Here is a 19,399-nt window from a genome sequence, read left to right on the forward strand (position 1 = left end):
ATTGCAATAAGAAAGAGAAATGGAGGATAAAGATTGAAAAGAAACAAAATTATTTTTATATTAAATGATACGATTATCTACAAATAACATCCAAGAAAAAATGTAAACTATTAGAACTAATAAGACATCAGCAAGTTTGTTGGCTATAAAGTCATATACCAGCAACAAACAATTATAAAATAAAAACTTGAAAATTAACCTCTTTACAATAACAAATACTATGAGGTAATTAGGCATAACAAAAGAGATTGATTCACTACCTATATGGAAAAAATTATGATGTTTTATTAAAAGATGTGAGACCATCTAACTGGAAAGACATATCATGTTCATGAACAGAAACACATTTTATAAATATGTTAATTCTCATAAATTAATCTATACATTTACTGCATTCTAGCTTAAATATCCAGTGTTTTGTTGAGCCTCACAGAGTATGCCTAAAATCCATATGGAAGAGTAAAGCGCCAAAAATATCCAAGGCAATTTTTAAATTAATAAATAATAGATGTACATATTTTGGGGATACGTGTAATAAATTTTTAATAAATTTAATTTCCGGGACACACGTACAGGACATGCAAGTTTGTTACATGTAAACATGTGCCATGGTGGTTTGCTGCACCTATCAGCCCATCACCTAGGTATTAAGCCCTGCATGCATTAACTATTTATCCTGATGCTCTCCCACCTCTTGCCCCCCAGCCAACCACCCCAACAGGTTCCAGTGTATGTTGTTCCTCTTCCTGTGTCCATGTGTTCTCATTGTTCAGCTCCCACTTATAAGTGATAATATGTGGTGTTTGGTTTTCTGTTTTTGCATTAGTTTGCTGAGGATAATGGCTTCGAGCTCCATTCATGTCCTGCAAAGGACATGATCTTGTTCCTTTTTACAGCTGCATATGTACCACATTTTCTTTATCCAGTCTATCACTGATGGGCATTTGGGTTGATTCCATGTCTTTGCTATTGTGAATAGTGCTGTAATGAACATAGGCATGCATGGGATACATGTGCTATTTATTACATTCATATAATTTGTAAATATCAAATCAGTATAATTGGGATATCTATCACCTTAAATATTCATCTTTTTTTTTTTTTTGAGACAGAGTTTCACTCTTGTTGCCCAGGCTGGAGTGTAATGGCGTGATCTCGGCTCACCACAACCTCTGCCTCCCAGGTTCAACAAATTCTGCCTCAGCCTCCCAAGTAGCTGGGATTACAGGCATGCACCACCACGCCTGGCTAATTTTGTTTTAGTAGAGACAGGGTTTCTCCATGTTGGTCAGGCTGGTCTCAAACTCCCGACCTCAGGTGATCCGCCCACCTTGGCCTCCCAAAGTGCTGGGATTACAGGCATGAGCCACCACGCCCCACCTTGTCTTTTCTTTATGCTAGAAATATTCAAATTACATTCCAGTTATTTTGAAATATATTATACAACAGATTATTGTAAACTATAGTCACCCTACTGATCTAGCAAACAATGGTGCTACTGCTTCTATCAAACTGTATATTTGTAACTATTAACCAACCTCTCTTCATCTCCTCTTTCCCCTACTTTTCCTAGTCTCTGGTTACCACCAATCTACTCTTTATCTTTATGAGATCCACATTTTTATCTACTATATATAAGTGAGAACATGTGATATTTGTCTTTCTGTACTTGGCTTATTTCACTTAACATAATGACCTCCAATTCCCTCCATGTTGCTGCATATTAAAGGATTTCTTTTATTGTGTATATGTGCCACATTTTCTTTATCCATTAATCCACTGATGGGCATTTTGGTTGATTCCATATTTCAGATATTGTGAATAGTGCTGCAATAAACATGAATATGTGGTGATTTCTTTGATATATTGATTTCCTTTCTTTTGGACATACACCCAGCAGAATTGCTGGATTATATGGTAGTGCTAATTTTAGTTTTTTGAGGAAACTTCATACAGTTTTCCAAAGTGGCTGTACTAATTTGCATTCCTACCAACAATGTACCCCTTTCACCACATCCTCACCAGCATCCATTATTCCCTGTCTCTTTGATAAAAGCCATTTAAACTGGAGTGAGATGATATCCCATTGTGATTTTAATTTGCATTTATCTGATGACTAGTGAAGCTGAGCATCTTTTCATATACCTGTTGGCCATGTGTATGTCTTCTTTTGAAAAATGTCTGTTCAGATCTTTCGCCCATTTTTAATCAGATTTTTTTTTGCTATTGAGTTGTTTGAGCCCCTTATATTTTCTGTTTATTAATCCTTTGTCAGATGGATAGTTTGCAAATTATTTTATTCCATTCTGTGGGTTGTCTCTCCACTTTGTTGGTTGTTTTCTTTGCTGTGCAGATTTTTTTTTTTTTTTTTTTTTTTTTGAGACAGAGTCTCACTCTGTCGCCAGGCTGGAGTGCAGTGGTGCAATCTCGGCTTACTGCAATCTCCACCTCCTGGGTTCAAGCAATTCTTCTGTCTCAGCCTCCTGAGTAGCTGGGACTACAGGTGCGAGCCACCACGCCCAGCTAATTTTTATGTTTTTAGTAGAGATGGGGTTTCACCATGTTGGCCAGGATGGTCTCGGTCTCTTGACCTTGTGATCCGCCTGCCTCGACCTCCCAAAGTGCTGGGATTACAGGTGTGAGCCACCATGCCCAGCCTGTGCAGATTTTTAGCTTGATGTAATCTCTTTTGTCTATTTTTGCTTTGGTTGCCTGTGCTTTTGAGGTCTTACACACAAAAAAATCTTTGCCCAGAACAATGTCCTGGAGCCTTTCTCCAATCTTTTCTTTTGAGACAGTATCTTGCTCTGTCACCACAGCTGGAGTGCAGCAGCACGATCACAGCTCACTATAACCTTGAATTCCAGGGCTCAAGCAATCCTCCTGCCTCACCTTCCTGAGTGGCTGAGACTACAGGAATGCAACACTGTGCCCAGCTAGTTTTATTTTTTATAGAGAAGGGGTCTCACTGTGTTGCCCAGGCTGGTCTCAAACCCCTGGCCTCAAGCGATCCTCCTGTCTTGGGCTCCCCAAATGCTGGAATTACAGGTATGAGCCACCACACCTGGTTTCCAATGTTTATTCTAGTAGTTTCATAATTTCAGGTCTTAGACTTAAGTCTGTAATCCATTTTGATTTGATTTTTTTGTATATAGTGAGAGATAGAGGTCCAGTTTCATTCTTCTGCGTATGGTTATCCGGTTTTCCCAGCACCATTTATTGAAGAGACTGTCCTTTGCCCATTGGATGTTCTTGGTGCCTTTGTTAAAAATGGGTTGGCCGTAAATGTGTGGATTTACACCTGGGTTCTGGGTTCTGTTCCATTGGTCTTTGTGTCTGGGTTGTTTTGTTGGTTTGTTTGTTTTGTTTTTTACCAATGCCATGCTGATTTGGTCACTACAGCTTTGCAGGTGTTTGTTTTGAGACAGAGTGCTCTGTAGCCTAGGCTGGAGTGCAGTGGCGCAATCTTGGCAAACTGCAACCTCCACCTCCAGGTTCAAGCAATTCTTCCACCTCAGCCTCCCGAATAGCTGGGACTACAGGCGTGTGCCACTATGCCTGGCTAATTTTTGTATTTTTAGCAGAGATGGGGTTTCACCACGTTGGTCAGACTGGTCTTGAACTCCTGACCTCAAGTGATCCACCTGCCTTGGCCTCCCAAACTGCTGGGATTACAGGCATAAGCCACTGTGCCCAGCCAACTTTGTACTATATTTTGAGGTGAGGTAGTGTGATGCTTCCAGCTTTGTTCTTTCTGCTGAGGATTGCTTTGGCTATCTGGGGTCTTTTGTAGTTCCATGTAAATTTTAGAATCGTCTCTTTTATTTCTCTGAAGAATTGCACTGGTATTTTGATAGGGATTGCATTGAATCTGTAAATTGCTTTGGGTAGTATTATCATTTTAACAATATTAATTAGTCCTATCCATGAGCACGGAAACTTTCCATTTTTGTGTGTCCTGTATTAAACTCTTTATGCTGCTATAAAGAAACATCTGAGACTGGGTAATTTTTACTTATTTATCTATCTATTTATTTTGAGGCAGGGTCTCACTCTGTTACTCAGGCTGGAGTGTGGTGGTGTGATCACAGCTCACTGAGGCTTCAACCTCCCCAGGCTCCAGTGATCCTCCTGAGTAGCTGCGACCACAGGCGCGCACCACCACACTTGGCAAATTTTTATATTTTTTGTAGAGATGGGGTTTTGCCATGTTGCCCACACTGGTCTCGAACTCTCAGGTTCAAGTCATCTGCCTGCATCAGCCTCCCAAAGTGCTGGGATAATAAGCGTGAGCCACTGTGCTCAGCTGAGGCTGGGTAATTCATAAAGAAAAGAGGTTTTATTTTGGCTCATGGTACTCCAAGATATACAGAAAGCATGGTGTCGGCATCTGATTCTGGTAAGGGCCTCAGGAAGTTTATAATCATGATATAAGGCAAAGCAGGAACAAGTGTCTCACATGGTGACAGTGGGAGAAGGGAGCAGTCCCAGACTTTTAACCAACCAGATCTCATGTGAACTAACTGAGGAAGAACTCACTTATCACCAAGGAAGTGGTGCTAAACCATTCACAAGGGATTTGCCCCCTGTGATCCAATTACTCTCCCACCAGGCCCTACCTCTAACACTGGGAATTATCTTTCTTTTTGTTTTTCCCTCATGAATAAAGTAGGATGCAGAGGATTATCTTTCCTTTTTTTTTTTTTTTTTTTTTTTGAGACAGTTTTGTTCTTGTCATCCAGGCTGGAGTGCAATGGCACAATCTCAGCTCACTGCAACCTCTGCCTCCCAGGTTCAAGTGATTCTCCTGCCTCAGCCTTCGGAGTAGCTGGGATTACAGGTGCCCGCCACCACGCCCAGCTAATTTTTGTATTTTTAGTGGAAATGGGGTTTCACTATGTTGGCCAGGCTGGTCTCAAACTCCTGGCCTCAGGTGAAATGCCCACCTTGGCCTCCCAAAGTGCTGGGAATACAGGTGTGAGCCACCATGCCCGGCCGAGGATTATCTTTCAACATGAGATTTGGAGGGGACAAATATCCACACTATATCATGTCCAATTCAATTTTTTCCATCAGTGTTTTATAGTTTTCCTTTTATAGATCTTTCATTTCTTTTGTTAAATTGATTCCTAGGTATTCTTCATAGCTGCTGTAAATGGAAGTGCTTTCTTCTTTTCCAGATTGTTCACTGTTGGCATATAGAAATGCTATTGGCTGGAAACGATGGCCAAGCCTGTAATCTCAAAGCTTTGGGAGGCCAAGGTAAACTCTTGGCCTCAAGCAATCCTCAAGGAGTTCAAGACCATCCTGGGCAACATAGTGAGACCCTATCTGTGTAAAAAAAATGAAAATATTAGCCAGGCATGGTAGAGTACACCTGCAGTCCTAGCTACTGAGGTGGAGGCAGGAGGATTGTTTCAGCCCTGAGGTTATATAGGGAGCTATGACTGCGCCATTATACTCCAGTATGGGCAACAGAGACCCTGTCTCTAAAAATAATAATAAAGAATAAATGCTACTGGTTTTTGTATGTTGATTTTATATACTGCCATTTTACTGAAATCGTTTATCAGTTCTAACAGTTTTTTTTGTGGAGTCTTTAGGTTTTTCTAAGTAGAAGATCTGTTGTTTGGAAGGCTAAGGTGGGAAGATTGCTTGAGCCCAGCAGGTCAAGGCTGCAGTGCACCATGATTGCACCACAGCACTCCAGCCTGGGTGACAGAGTAAGTCTCAGAAAAAGAAAAAAGTTCACTTTGTCTAAACTGTTTCTTCCTTTCCAATTTGGATGGCCTTTATGTTTCTCTCTTGCCTAATTGCTCTGGCCAGAACTTCCAGTATTCTGTTGAATAAAAGTGATGTAAATAGGCATCTTTGTCTTCTTCCTGATCTTGCAGGAAAAGTTTTCCATTTTTCCCTGTTCAGTACAATGTTAGCTATGGGTCTGTCATATATGGCCTTTATTATTATGAGGTATGTTCCTTCTATATCCAGTTTGTTGAGGGTGTTTATCATAAAGGGATGTTAAATTTCATTGACTGTTTTTTCAGCATCCATTGAAATGATTACATGGTTTTTGTTCTTGATTCTGGTAATGTGACATATCACATTTATTGATTTGCATATGTTGAACCATCCTTGTATCCCTGACCCAAGGCAATTTTAAACATGAATAAGGATGAAGGTTTTGTTCTACTTGATGTCAAAACTTATATAAAGCTACAGTAATTAAAATAATATGAGATTGGTGCAAGGATAGAAAAAGAGACCAATGGATCAGAATACAAACCAATACAAATAAGAGAATTCAGTATATAGTAGAGGAACAATTATACTTCACTGGGGAAAAGATAGACTCTTTAGTACATAATGCCAGAACAACTAGTTGGCCACATGATAAAAACTAAAATTAAATCTATATCTCACAGCATACATAAAAATAAATATTAAAATAAAAACCCGTCAAAACTTTATACTCTCAGAAGATAATATAGGCAAATATCTCTATACCTCAAGGAAAGATTTCTTAAAACACACAGAGAATAAACTTCAAGAAAAAGATGGATAATTCTGACTTTCTAAAAATACTTTAAAATGTCTGTAACAAAAGCAACATAAGCAATGTGAAATGACCCGCTACACACAAGAATATATTTGCTATGCATATAATTGACAAAAGACAGTATCCAGACTATATATAATTCATGAAAATACATATGAAATATATAATTACCCAGATTATATATATAATATATAAATGCCAACTAAAACATAAACAAAAGACTCTATGGGAAAAAATAGGGAAAAGATATTAAGAGGCAATTAAAAAAGATGGCTGTATTGAAAACACACAAAAACCTACATAATCCAAACCAAAAAATCTCAGAGCAATCTGTATAGTATAATTCCAATTGTCTGTGTGTGTGGGGGGGGAAACTACTCAATTTATATAGTAGTCAGGAAAGAGTAAATTCAAAAGAAGAATGAGATACTATACCATACCCATCAAATTGGCAAAAAATAGAAACTCTAATACAAAACATTGACAAGGATATGGAGAAATAGGAACCATCAAACACAGTATGAGTTTTTTGAAACATAGTGGTTTATTTCCACTAGCAACCACTTTGGAAAACAATTTGGCATTATCTAGTGGTACTGAAAATGTGCATATAACCTAGCAATTCTACTTTAAGGCATATATCCTAGGGACATACTTGCATATGTACCCAAGGAGTCATGCACAAGGATACTCATTGCAACATTGTGTATAACAGCAAAATAACTGGCATCAATCTAAATGTTCCTTAACAAAGGTTTTCAAATAGTGGGATGCTAAACTAAGCTGTACACGGAGCTACATGTAACAACATAGAAAACTACTAAAACACTATCTGTGTGTGTATGTGGTAGGGGGGATACAATGAAGACAGATATATATGACAAACTATAAAGAACAGATACTGCCAGGCGGGCACAGTGGCTCATGCCTGTAATCCCAGCACTGTGGGAGGCCAAGGCGGGTGGAGCAAGAGGTCAGGAGTTTGAGACCAGCCTGACCAACATAGTGAAACCCCGTCTCTACTAAAAATACAAAAATTAGCTGGGCGTGGTGGCGGGCGCCTATAGTCCCAGCTACTCAGGAGGCTGAGGCAGGAGAATGGTGTGAACCCGGGAGGCAGAGGTTGCCGTGAGCCAAGTCGCGCCACTGCACTCCAGCCTGGGTGACAAAGTGAGACTCCGTCTAAAAAAAAAAAAGAATAGATACAATAGGCCAGGAGTGATGGCTCACGGCTGTAATCCTAGGACTTTAATAGGCTAAGGCAGGCCTATCACTTGAGCTCAGGAGTTCGAGACCAGCCTGGGCAACATGGTGAAACCCTGTCTCTACAAAAAATATAAAAATTACCCAGGTGTGGTGGCACTCACCTGTAGTCCCAGCTACCTGGGGGACTGGGGCAAGAGGATTGCTTGAACCCAGGAGGTCGGGCTGCAGTGAACCAAGATCATGCCACTGCATTCCAGCCTGGGTAACAAAAGTGAGAACCTGTCTCAAAAAAAAAAAAAATAGATATGATACACACCAAATTCAGAACAGTGGTTACCTCCGGGGGTGAACAAAGGGAAATACAAAGGATTATGAAAGGGTCATCAACTATATCTAATATCTTATTTCTTTAAAAAATCTGAAGCAAATATAGCAAATTTTAGTTTATTAAATCTGGGTAGTGAGCGTAAGATTTTCTGAACTCCTCTTTGAAATATTTCATATTTTTGAAATAATACAAAAATAAATAAATACTCATTGCAGAAAAGGCTTTACTAAGTATCTCATAAAAAAATAGAAACCATGAAATAAGCATCCATTTTCTCTAAATAAACATTTTAAACTTCCATATAGAAATGTATCATAAATAAGGATGAAAGAGAAATACAAATTTGGGGAAATATTTGCAAAACAGAAGATTAATCCCTGAAACATAAAGAGCTGTATTGTTTTCAACAATGTCCTAGGGCACAAATTGCTCCACAAATGAATCAAATCAACTTTGCCCCCTTTGAAGGAATAGTTGCTGAGGTTACTGTTTGATATTTCTTCTGATCCTAGGAGGGCTCCTTCCAACTGGCTTACTCCCCGGTTCCCTCCTGAGAACTAGCCCACGTATAGTTTGATTCTGATGCTATATCCATGAATCTCTCCCAGTTTCATTTCACCACAACCTCCACAGTTCTTCAAAGTGTCCTTAGGTTTGAACTTCTGCATGCTCTGTTGCAAATGCAGTCAGTTCCTTCGGGAAGAGATTAAGAGCTATCTGTTTTATGGCCTAACTCAGGCCAAACCTCTGAGTTAGGACCCTGGAGCTAGAGGTGGAAACAATAACAAGGTTCTGAGTGCTCAGTGAGTTGGGGGACAGCAGCCCAAGGCCCTTCGTCACATGGAACCACCATCTCAGGAGCTGGGGAAAGGCAATTAGGACTCTAGTATTCTCTGTGTGCCACAGCCAAGATCCAAGATAGAGCTTCCATTCTACAAGCAGGAGATGAGCTGAAGAAGGGACTCTCCCACCCCCCAACTCCCAAACTCTCAAATGCAGTTGCCTGGGACTTGGCCTTAGCAACAGGTAGCAAGGGGCAGGAGAGAAGTGTTAACAGTCTGCTCCTTCTGGGAAGCAAGCCCTTGGACTTGGGGGAAAGGGAGCTCTGGGTGCTTGGCTGCAGCAGTTTGGAATGGCGTCTCCACTTCACCAAGCTGGAAGCAGGCAGTGAGGGAGACGTCTTATGTGAGATAACACAGACTCCCACCTTTCACACCAAATTTCACAGATTTCCTTGAGCAGATGTTTCTTTATTTACTCTTTGCCCTTGGGACTATTCCCAAAGACTAATTTTTAAATAACGTACACAAGTTTTACTAGGAGTGGGTCAACAAAGCTCCTCACACTGTCAAGACAGAAGATGATGTCTCCTGTATCATTTAAATATTTTATGATGAGCATATATATTATCTGCAAAACCAAGGAGGACATTAAAAATAAAAACAGAGAAAGAGAGAGAAACTGAAAGCTGGTAGGAGGTAAGAAAGTAAGAACTTCCAGAACAGTAAGAGAAGCCCATGCTGGCTGGTGGCCTCCTTGCCAGTCTCTGTAGTTCCATTCTTCTCTTTGCTTCAATAAATGAATTATACTCTTTCTAATAACCTCAGCCCGTGAACAGGACCTTAATGAGAAAACAGGCACACCTGAAATAACTCCAACTTTGGGAAGCACAGTGGATTTTTCCTTGAATCCAGATGTCTAACGGGAGGTGAGTGGAACACCAAGAGAGGAATGTTGTAGGCAATGGAACCACAGTGGAAACAGCTGTGGAGAACTGATGAAAATTATATCAAACAGAGCCTAGTGTCAGGCCAAGCAACTAGGCTAAGAATACCAAAAGCACTGTCTTCCCTCTTTCCCCACTCCTGGTACTTTGCAGCTAATCTGTCTTCATTATTATTCGCCTGCTTTAATTTTTAATTATTAGTTTTTGAGATAGGGTCTTGTTATGTTTCCCAGGCTGGTCTTGAATTCCTGGCCTCAAGTGATCCTTCCACCTCAGCCTCCCAAAGTGCTGAGATTACAGGTGTGAGCCACTGTACCTGGCCTCTGTTTTTATAACCCAGTCTTTCTGTGGTTTCACTGTTACCAGAAATGGATTTCTCCTGAATCACTGTGCATGGGATTCAGTGGATTTCCTGAATCAGAATTCATGTATTTTATCAATTTAAAGAGGTTTGGAAAAGTATCAGCCAAACCTCTTTAAATAGAGGTTTATTCTCTTTATTCTTCTGAAACTCATGTGAGACCTTTATATTCAAATCTTCACATCTCTTAACCTCTTTTTTCATTTTTCTGTCTATGCTGCACTTTAGGTAATTTCTTCCATTCTATACTCTAGTTTACTTAATTACTCTTCAGCTGTGTCTAACCAGCTATTTACCTTGTCTACTGAATTCCTAACTGCAATTAGATTTTCAACTTCAAGAAGTTCTATTTGTGAATCAACCTAACTGTCCATTAATGAATGAATGGATAAAGAAAATGTGATGTACACACACAATGGAGTATTATTCAGCCAGAAAAAAATAAAGAAAAACTGCCATTTGTGACAATACAAATGAAACTAGAGGACATTATGTTAAGTGACATAAGCCAGGCACAGAAAGACAAGTATTGCATCATCTTGTGCATACGTGGAATCTAAAAAAATTTATCTCATAAAAGTAGAGTAGAATGGTACTTACCAAGGGCTGGGGTAAAAGATAGGATGTCGGGCCAGGTTGCTGGGGCAGGGGAGTATTGAGATGTTGGTCAAAGGATACGAAATTTCAGATGGACAGGAGGATTAAGTCCAAGATATCTATCATATAGCATGGTGACTGTAGTTAATAACAATACATTGCATTCCTGAAAAATGCTGAGGCAGGGATGTTAAGTGCTCTCACCACAAAAATGATAACTTATGTGAGCAAGATTAGTCATTCCAGAATGTATATATATTTTGAAATATCATGTTTTACAAAATAAATACATATAATTTTATCTGCCAAGTAAAAAAAAATTTTTTTTAATTTAAAAGAAGTTCTAGTTGTGTCATTTTCTAATCTGTCCATTGTCACTTTTGATAGCCTATTGTTTTTTTGCCCATACTTTTGATAAAATCTTATTTAAGCGTATTATTTTATATTCTGTTTTCTGTGAATTTTACTACCTATAATTTTTTAAATTTTTATTTATTTATTTATTTATTTTTTCTTCCTTTTTTTTTTATTATACTTTAAGTTTTAGGGTACATGTGCACATTGTGCAGGTTAGTTACATATGTATACATGTGCCATGCTGGTGCGCTGCGCCCACTAACTCATCATCTAGCATTAGGTATATCTCCCAATGCTATCCCTCCCCCCTCCCCCCACCCCACCACAGTCCCCAGAGTGTGATATTCCCCTTCCTGTGTCCATGTGATCTCATTGTTCAATTCCCACCTATGAGTGAGAATATGCGGTGTTTGGTTTTTTGTTCTTGCGATAGTTTACTGAGAATGATGATTTCCAATTTCATCCATGTCCCTACAAAGGACATGAACTCATCATTTTTTATGGCTGCATAGTATTCCATGGTGTATATGTGCCACATTTTCTTAATCCAGTCTATCATTGTTGGACATTTGGGTTGGTTCCAAGTCTTTGCTATTGTGAATAATGCCGCAATAAACATACGTATGCATGTGTCTTTATAGCAGCATGATTTATAGTCATTTGGGTATATACCCAGTAATGGGATGGCTGGGTCAAATGGTATTTCTAGTTCTAGATCCCTGAGGAATCGCCACACTGACTTCCACAATGGTTGAACTAGTTTACAGTCCCACCAACAGTGTAAAAGTGTTCCTATTTCTCCACATCCTCTCCAGCACCTGTTGTTTCCTGACTTTTTAATGATTGCCATTCTAACTGGTGTGAGATGGTATCTCATAGTGGTTTTGATTTGCATTTCTCTGATGGCCAGTGATGATGAGCATTTTTTCATGTGTTTTTTGGCTGCATAAATGTCTTCTTTTGAGAAGTGTCTGTTCATGTCCTTCGCCCACTTTTTGATGGGGTTGTTTGTTTTTTTCTTGTAAATTTGTTTGAGTTCATTGTAGATTCTGGATATTAGCCCTTTGTCAGATGAGTAGGTTGCGAAAATTTTCTCCCATTTTGTAGGTTGCCTGTTCACTCTGATGGTAGTTTCTTTTGCTGTGCAGAAGCTCTTTAGTTTAATTAGATCCCATTTGTCAATTTTGGCTTTTGTTGCCATTGCTTTTGGTGTTTTGGACATGAAGTCCTTGCCCACGCCTATGTCCTGAATGGTAATGCCTAGGTTTTCTTCTAGGGTTTTTATGGTTTTAGGTCTAACGTTTAAATCTTTTTTTTTAATCCATCTTGAATTGATTTTTGTATAAGGTGTAAGGAAGGGATCCAGTTTCAGCTTTCTACATATGGCTAGCCAGTTTTCCCAGCACCATTTATTAAATAGGGAATCCTTTCCCCATTGCTTGTTTTTCTCAGGTTTGTCAAAGATCAGACAGTTGTAGGTATGCGGCGTTATTTCTGAGGGCTCTGTTCTGTTCCATTGATCTATATCTCTGTTTTGGTACCAGTACCATGCTGTTTTGGTTACTGTAGCCTTGTAGTATAGTTTGAAGTCAGGTAGTGTGATGCCTCCAGCTTTGTTCTTTTGGCTTAGGATTGACTTGGTGATGCAGGCTCTTTTTTGGTTCCATATGAACTTTAAAGTAGTTTTTTCCAATTCTGTGAAGAAAGTCATTGGTAGCTTGATGGGGATGGCATTGAATCTGTAAATTACCTTGGGCAGTATGGCCATTTTCATGATATTGATTCTTCCTACCCATGAGCATGGAATGTTCTTCCATTTGTTTGTATCCTCTTTTATTTCATTGAGCAGTGTTTTGTAGTTCTCCTTGAAGAGGTCCTTCACATCCCTTGTAAGTTGGATTCCTAGGTATTTTATTCTCTTTGAAGCAATTGTGAATGGGAGTTCACTCATGATTTGGCTCTCTGTTTGTCTGTTGTTGGTGTATAAGAATGCTTGTGATTTTTGTACATTGATTTTGTATCCTGAGACTTTGCTGAAGTTGCTGATCAGCTTAAGGAGATTTTGGGCTGAGACAATGGGGTTTTCTAGATATACAATCATGTCGTCTGCAAACAGGGACAATTTGACTTCCTCTTTTCCTAATTGAATATCCTTTATTTCCTTTTCCTGCCTAATTGCCCTGGCCAGAACTTCCAACACTATGTTGAATAGGAGTGGTGAGAGAGGGCATCCCTGTCTTGTGCCAGTTTTCAAAGGGAATGCTTCCAGTTTTTGCCCATTCAGTATGATATTGGCTGTGGGTTTGTCATAGATAGCTCTTATTATTTTGAAATACGTCCCATCAATACCTAATTTATTGAGAGTTTTTAGCATGAAGGGTTGTTGAATTTTGTCAAAGGCTTTTTCTGCATCTATTGAGATAATCATGTGGTTTTTGTCTTTGGCTCTGTTTATATGCTGGATTACATTTATTGGTTTGCGTATATTGAACCAGCCTTGCATCCCAGGGATGAAGCCCACTTGATCATGGTGGATAAGCTTTTTGATGTGCTGCTGGATTCGGTTTGCCAGTATTTTATTGAGGATTTTTGCATCAATGTTCATCAAGGATATTGGTCTAAAATTCTCTTTTTTTGTTGTGTCTCTGCCAGGCTTTGGTATCAGGATGATGCTGGCCTCATAAAATGAGTTAGGGAGGATTCCCTCTTTTTCTATTGATTGGAATAGTTTCAGAAGGAATGGTACCAGTTCCTCCCTGTACCTCTGGTAGAATTCAGCTGTGAATCCATCTGGTCCTGGACTCTTTTTGGTTGGTAAGCTATTGATTATTGCCACAATTTCAGCTCCTGTTATTGGTCTATTAAGAGATTCAACTTCTTCCTGGTTTAGTCTTGGGAGAGTGTATGTGTCGAGGAATTTATCCATTTCTTCTAGATTTTCTAATTTATTTGCGTAGAGGTGTTTGTAGTATTCTCTGATGGTAGTTTGTATTTCTGTGGGATTGGTGGTGATATCCCCTTTATCATTTTTTATTGTGTCTATTTGATTCTTCTCTCTTTTTTTCTTTATTAGTCTTGCTAGCGGTCTATCAATTTTGTTGATCCTTTCAAAAAACCAGCTCCTGGATTCATTGATTTTTTGAAGGGTTTTTTGTGTCTCTATTTCCTTCAGTTCTGCTCTGAATTTAGTTATTTCTTGCCTTCTGCTAGCTTTTGAATGTGTTTGCTCTTGCTTTTCTAGTTCTTTTAATTGTGGTGTTAGGGTGTCAATTTTGGATCTTTCCTGCTTTCTCTTGTGGGCATTTAGTGCTATAAATTTCCCTCTACACACTGCTTTGAATGCGTCCCAGAGATTCTGGTATGTTGTGTCTTTGTTCTCATTGGTTTCAAAGAACATCTTTATTTCTGCCTTCATTTCGTTATGTACCCAGTAGTCATTCAGGAGCAGGTTGTTCAGCTTCCATGTAGTTGAGCGGCTTTGAGTGAGATTCTTAATCCTGAGTTCTAGTTTGATTGCACTGTGGTCTGAGAGATAGTTTGTTATAACTTCTGTTCTTTTACATTTGCTGAGGAGTGCTTTACTTCCAAGTATGTGGTCAATTTTGGAATAGGTGTGGTGTGGTGCTGAAAAAAATGTATATTCTGTTGATTTGGGGTGGAGAGTTCTGTAGATGTCTATTAGGTCCGTTTGGTGCAGAGCTGAGTTCAATTCCTGGGTATCCTTGTTGACTTTCTGTCTCGTTGATCTGTCTAATGTTGACAGTGGGGTGTTAAAGTCTCCCATTATTATTGTGTGGGAGTCTAAGTCTCTTTGTAGGTCACTCAGGACTTGCGTTATGAATCTGGGTGCTCCTGTATTGGGTGCATATATATTTAGGATAGTTAGCTCTTCTTGTTGAATTGATCCCTTTACCATTATGTAATGGCCTTCTTTGTCTCTTTTGATCTTTGTTGGTTTAAAGTCTGTTTTATCAGAGACTAGGATTGCAACCCCTGCCTTTTTTTGTTTTCCATTTGCTTGGTAGATCTTCCTCCATCCTTTTATTTTGAGCCTATGTGTGTCTCTGCACGTGAGATGGGTTTCCTGAACACAGCACACTGATGGGTCTTGACTCTTTATCCAATTTGCCAGTCTGTGTCTTTTAATTGGAGAATTTAGTCCATTTACATTTAAAGTTAATATTGTTATGTGTGAATTTGATCCTGTCATTATGATGTTAGCTGGTGATTTTGCTCGTTAGTTGATGCAGTTTCTTCCTAGTCTCGATGGTCTTTACATTTTGGCATGATTTTGCAGCGGCTGGTACTGGTTGTTCCTTTCCATGTTTAGCGCTTCCTTCAGGAGCTCTTTTAGGGGAGGTCTGGTGGTGACAAAATCTCTCAGCATTTGCTTGTCTGTAAAGTATTTTATTTCTCCTTCACTTATGAAGCTTAGCTTGGCTGGATATGAAATTCTGGGTTGAAAATTCTTTTCTTTAAGAATGTTGAATATTGGCCCCCACTCTCTTCTGGCTTGTAGGGTTTCTGCCGAGAGATCCGCTGTTAGTCTGATGGGCTTCCCTTTGAGGGTAACCCGACCTTTCTCTCTGGCTGCCCTTAACATTTTTTCCTTCATTTCAACTTTGGTGAATCTGACAATTATGTGTCTTGGAGTTGCTCTTCTTGAGGAGCATCTTTGTGGCGTTCTCTGTATTTCCTGAATCTGAATATTGGCCTGCCTTGCTAGATTGGGGAAGTTCTCCTGGATAATATCCTGCAGAGTGTTTTCCAACTTGGTTCCATTCTCCCCATCACTTTCAGGTACACCAATCAGACGTAGATTTGGTCTTTTCACATAGTCCCATATTTCTTGGAGGCTTTGCTCATTTCTTTTTATTCTTTTTTCTCTAAACTTCCCTTCTCGCTTCATTTCATTCATTTCATCTTCCATTACTGATACCCTTTCTTCCAGTTGATCGCATCGGCTCCTGAGGCTTCTGCATTCTTCACGTAGTTCTCGAGCCTTGGTTTTCAGCTCCATCAGCTCCTTTAAGCACTTCTCTGTATTGGTTATTCTAGTTATACATTCTTCTAATTTTTTTTCAAAGTTTTCAACTTCTTTGCCTTTGGTTTGAATGTCCTCCCATAGCTCAGAGTAATTTGATCGTCTGAAGCCTTCTTCTCTCAGCTCGTCAAAGTCATTCTCCATCCAGCTTTGTTCCGTTGCTGGTGAGGAGCTGCATTCCTTTGGAGGAGGAGAGGCGCTCTGATTTTTAGAGCTTCCAGTTTTTCTGTTCTGTTTTTTCCCCATCTTTGTGGTTTTATCTACTTTTGGTCTTTGATGATGGTGATGTACAGATGGGTTTTTGGTGTGGATGTCCTTTCTGTTTGTTAGTTTTCCTTCTAACAGACAGGACCCTCAGCTGCAGGTCTGTTGGAATACCCTGCCGTGTGATGTGTCAGTGTGCCCCTGCTGGGGGGTGCCTCCCAGTTAGGCTGCTCGGGGGTCAGGGGTCAGGGACCCACTTGAAGAGGCAGTCTGCCGGTTCTCAGATCTCCAGCTGCGTGCTGGGAGAACCACTGCTCCCTTCAAAGCTGTCAGACAGGGACATTTAAGTCTGCAGAGGTTACTGCTGTCTTTTTGTTTGTCTGTGCCCTGCCCCCAGAGGTGGAGCCTACAGAGGCAGGCAGGCCTCCTTGAGCTGTGGTGGGCTCCACCCAGTTCGAGCTTCCCGGCTGCTTTGTTTACCTAAGCAAGCCTGGGCAATGGCGGGCGCCCCTCCCCCAGCCTCGCTGCCGCCTTGCAGTTTGATCTCAGACTGCTGTGCTAGCAATCAGCGAGATTCCGTGGGTGTAGGACCCTCTGAGCCAGGTGTGGGATATAGTCTCGTGGTGCGCCGTTTTTTAAGCCGGTCTGAAAAGCGCAATATTCGGGTGGGAGTGACCCGATTTTCCAGGTGCGTCCGTCACCCCTTTCTTTGACTCGGAAAGGGAACTCCCTGACCCCTTGCGCTTCCCAGGTGAGGCAATGCCTCGCCCTGCTTCGGCTCCCGCACCGTGCGCGCACCCACTGGCCTGCGCCCACTGTCTGGCACTCCCTAGTGAGATGAACCCGGTACCTCAGATGGAAATGCAGAAATCACCCATCTTCTGCGTCGGTCACGCTGGGAGCTGTAGACCGGAGCTGTTCCTATTCGGCCATCTTGGCTCCTCCAATTTTTATTTATTTTAAAAAATTATTAATAGAGACAGGTTCTCGCTTTGTTGCCCAGGCTGGTCTCAAGCTCCTGGCTTCAAGTGATCCTCCTGCCTCAGCCTCCCAAAGTGCTGTGATTACAAGTGTGAGCCACTGCACCCCATCTAGCTATAGTTTTAAAAGTTTGATTATCTGTTTCTGCTGTCTTTCACTCATAGTGCCTTATTTTTTATGTGCTTTGTGATGTTTTGGTTGTGAGCTCATGATCATAGGAAGATTTTTGTTTGTGGGGATGCTCTGAGGCCTGGATGTGAGTTCCTCCAAAGAGGATTTGTTTCTGCATCTACCAGTAACCCAGAAATTCTGCCAATTTCAAACTACGTTTTAAAAAAAACCTTTTCCCATGGAAATTTTCATGTATATACTAAAATACAGAGAATGGTATAATAATCCCCATGGACTCTTCACTCAGCTTTCAAAATTATGAAGTCATAGCTAGCACTATTTTATCTATACCCCGACTCAGCCACCTACCCACCTCCTCAGATCTCAAAATAAAGCATAATGGAGACATCCTATCTTTGGTTTTTGTTGTTGTTTTCTGAGATGGAGTCTCGCTCTGTTGCCCAGGCTACAGTGCAGTGGCATGATCATGGCTCACTGCAGCCTCAACTTCCATTCTCAGGCAATCCTCCCACCTCAGCCTTCTGAGTAGCTGGGACCACAGAAACATACCACCAGACCCAGCTAAATTAAAATATTTCTTTGTAGAGACGGGGTCTCCTTATGTTGCCCAGGCTGGTCTTGAACTCCTGGGCTCAAGCAATCCTTTCACTTTGGCCTCCCAAAGTGCTTTGATTATCTATGACCATGCTACCCTGAATGTGCCTGATCTCATCTGATCTTGGAAGCTAAGCAAGGTTGGGCCCGGTTAGTACTTGGATGGGAGACCAAAGTGCTGGCATTACAGGCACGAGCCACTGTGCCTGGCCCGACATCCTATCTTTTACCCATAAATTTTTCAGCATACTTCTTCTCTAAAAAGGCTCTTTTTTACAAAAACAAAACAATACCATTTTCACACCAAAAATTTAATATTATCCTTCATATTATCAAATATCAAGTAATTGTTTAAATGTTCCCAATTATGTCATGATTTTTTCTTTTTTCTTTTTTTGCAGATTGCTGATTTGGTCAAGATGTAAACATATCGTAGAGCTCCAGCATGGGGGCTCACGCCTGTAATACAAACACTTTGGAAGGCCAAGGTGGGAGAATCACTCAAGCCCAGGAGTTTAAGATCAACCTGGGCAACAAAGTAAGACCCTGTCTCTACAAAACAATAAAAAGTAAAAACTAGCCAGGCATGGAGCATATGCCTGTGGTCTCAGCTAGACAGGAGGCTGAGGCAGGAGACTGAGTCTGCAGTAAGCCGTGTTTGCACCACTGCACTCTAGGCTTGGGTGATACAGCAAGATCTGTCTCAAAAAATAAAACAAAAAGTACATACATTGTAACTATAATTGGCTGATATTCATCTTAAATATCTTTTAATTTATGGGCTTCATCCCATCTCTTTATTTTTTTCTCTTGTATCTTATTTTGTGAAAAAGCCAGTAATTTGCCTGCTCTACGGTTTTCCACAGTCTGGTCTTTGCTGATTGCAAGTCTATTATATCATTGAACCTATCACCTGTCCCCAATATTTCCCTTAAATTGGACATCAGATCTAGAAGTATGTTCAAATTCAGATTAGATTTTCTATCAAGAGTGCTTCCTATGTGGTGTTACACTGTTTTCAGAAGGCATGTCAGACTCAGTTTCCTTAGGAAACAGACTGAAGATCTGCAGGCATTTTTCTCCCTTCCACTCAAAGCCAATTTGCCTTAATAATTCCTTTTTAGTGGAAGATTTTCATTTTTCTAATTATTTCATGGCCCCTAAGCTTTGTCTCTTGTCCCCTAAATTATGATTCCTGTTGAAACCAAGAGCTCACAGTCACTAGGGAATAGCAAATGTTCCCAGGTCAGCTGTCAGGTTCAGTGTTTTGTATCTCTTAGGATTTGAGCTTTCCATTATATTTGCTTTAG

The 19,399-nt window shown here is 40.3% G+C and overlaps 1 protein-coding gene, 1 long non-coding RNA gene and 1 pseudogene across 6 annotated transcripts in view, besides 1 other annotated feature; 2 read left to right on the forward strand and 1 right to left on the reverse strand.

The window, feature by feature from the left end:
* The window catches only part of SIL1 (SIL1 nucleotide exchange factor), a 251,645-nt gene that overhangs the window by 47,436 nt on the left and 184,810 nt on the right, over positions 1-19,399 (reverse strand). The window lies entirely within an intron of this gene.
* Positions 16,385-17,032: an enhancer, noted in NCBI's record as "NANOG-H3K27ac-H3K4me1 hESC enhancer chr5:138346233-138346880 (GRCh37/hg19 assembly coordinates)". NCBI's record gives its function as "activates a minimal SCP1, AML or CMV promoter by ChIP-STARR-seq in naive H9 embryonic stem cells {active_cell/tissue: H9 hESC(naive)}" and the evidence as "EXISTENCE:reporter gene assay evidence [ECO:0000049][PMID:30033119]".
* LOC124901080 (uncharacterized) lies at positions 16,942-18,668 on the forward strand. Its single transcript, XR_007058955.1, has 2 exons — positions 16,942-16,985; positions 18,491-18,668. It is a non-coding gene; the product is annotated as an uncharacterized LOC124901080 (long non-coding RNA).
* On the forward strand, positions 18,170-18,282 carry RNA5SP194 (RNA, 5S ribosomal pseudogene 194; annotated as a pseudogene).

This window comes from Homo sapiens, chromosome 5, assembly GCF_000001405.40.
Source record: "Homo sapiens chromosome 5, GRCh38.p14 Primary Assembly".
Classification (NCBI taxonomy): Eukaryota; Metazoa; Chordata; class Mammalia; order Primates; family Hominidae; genus Homo; species Homo sapiens.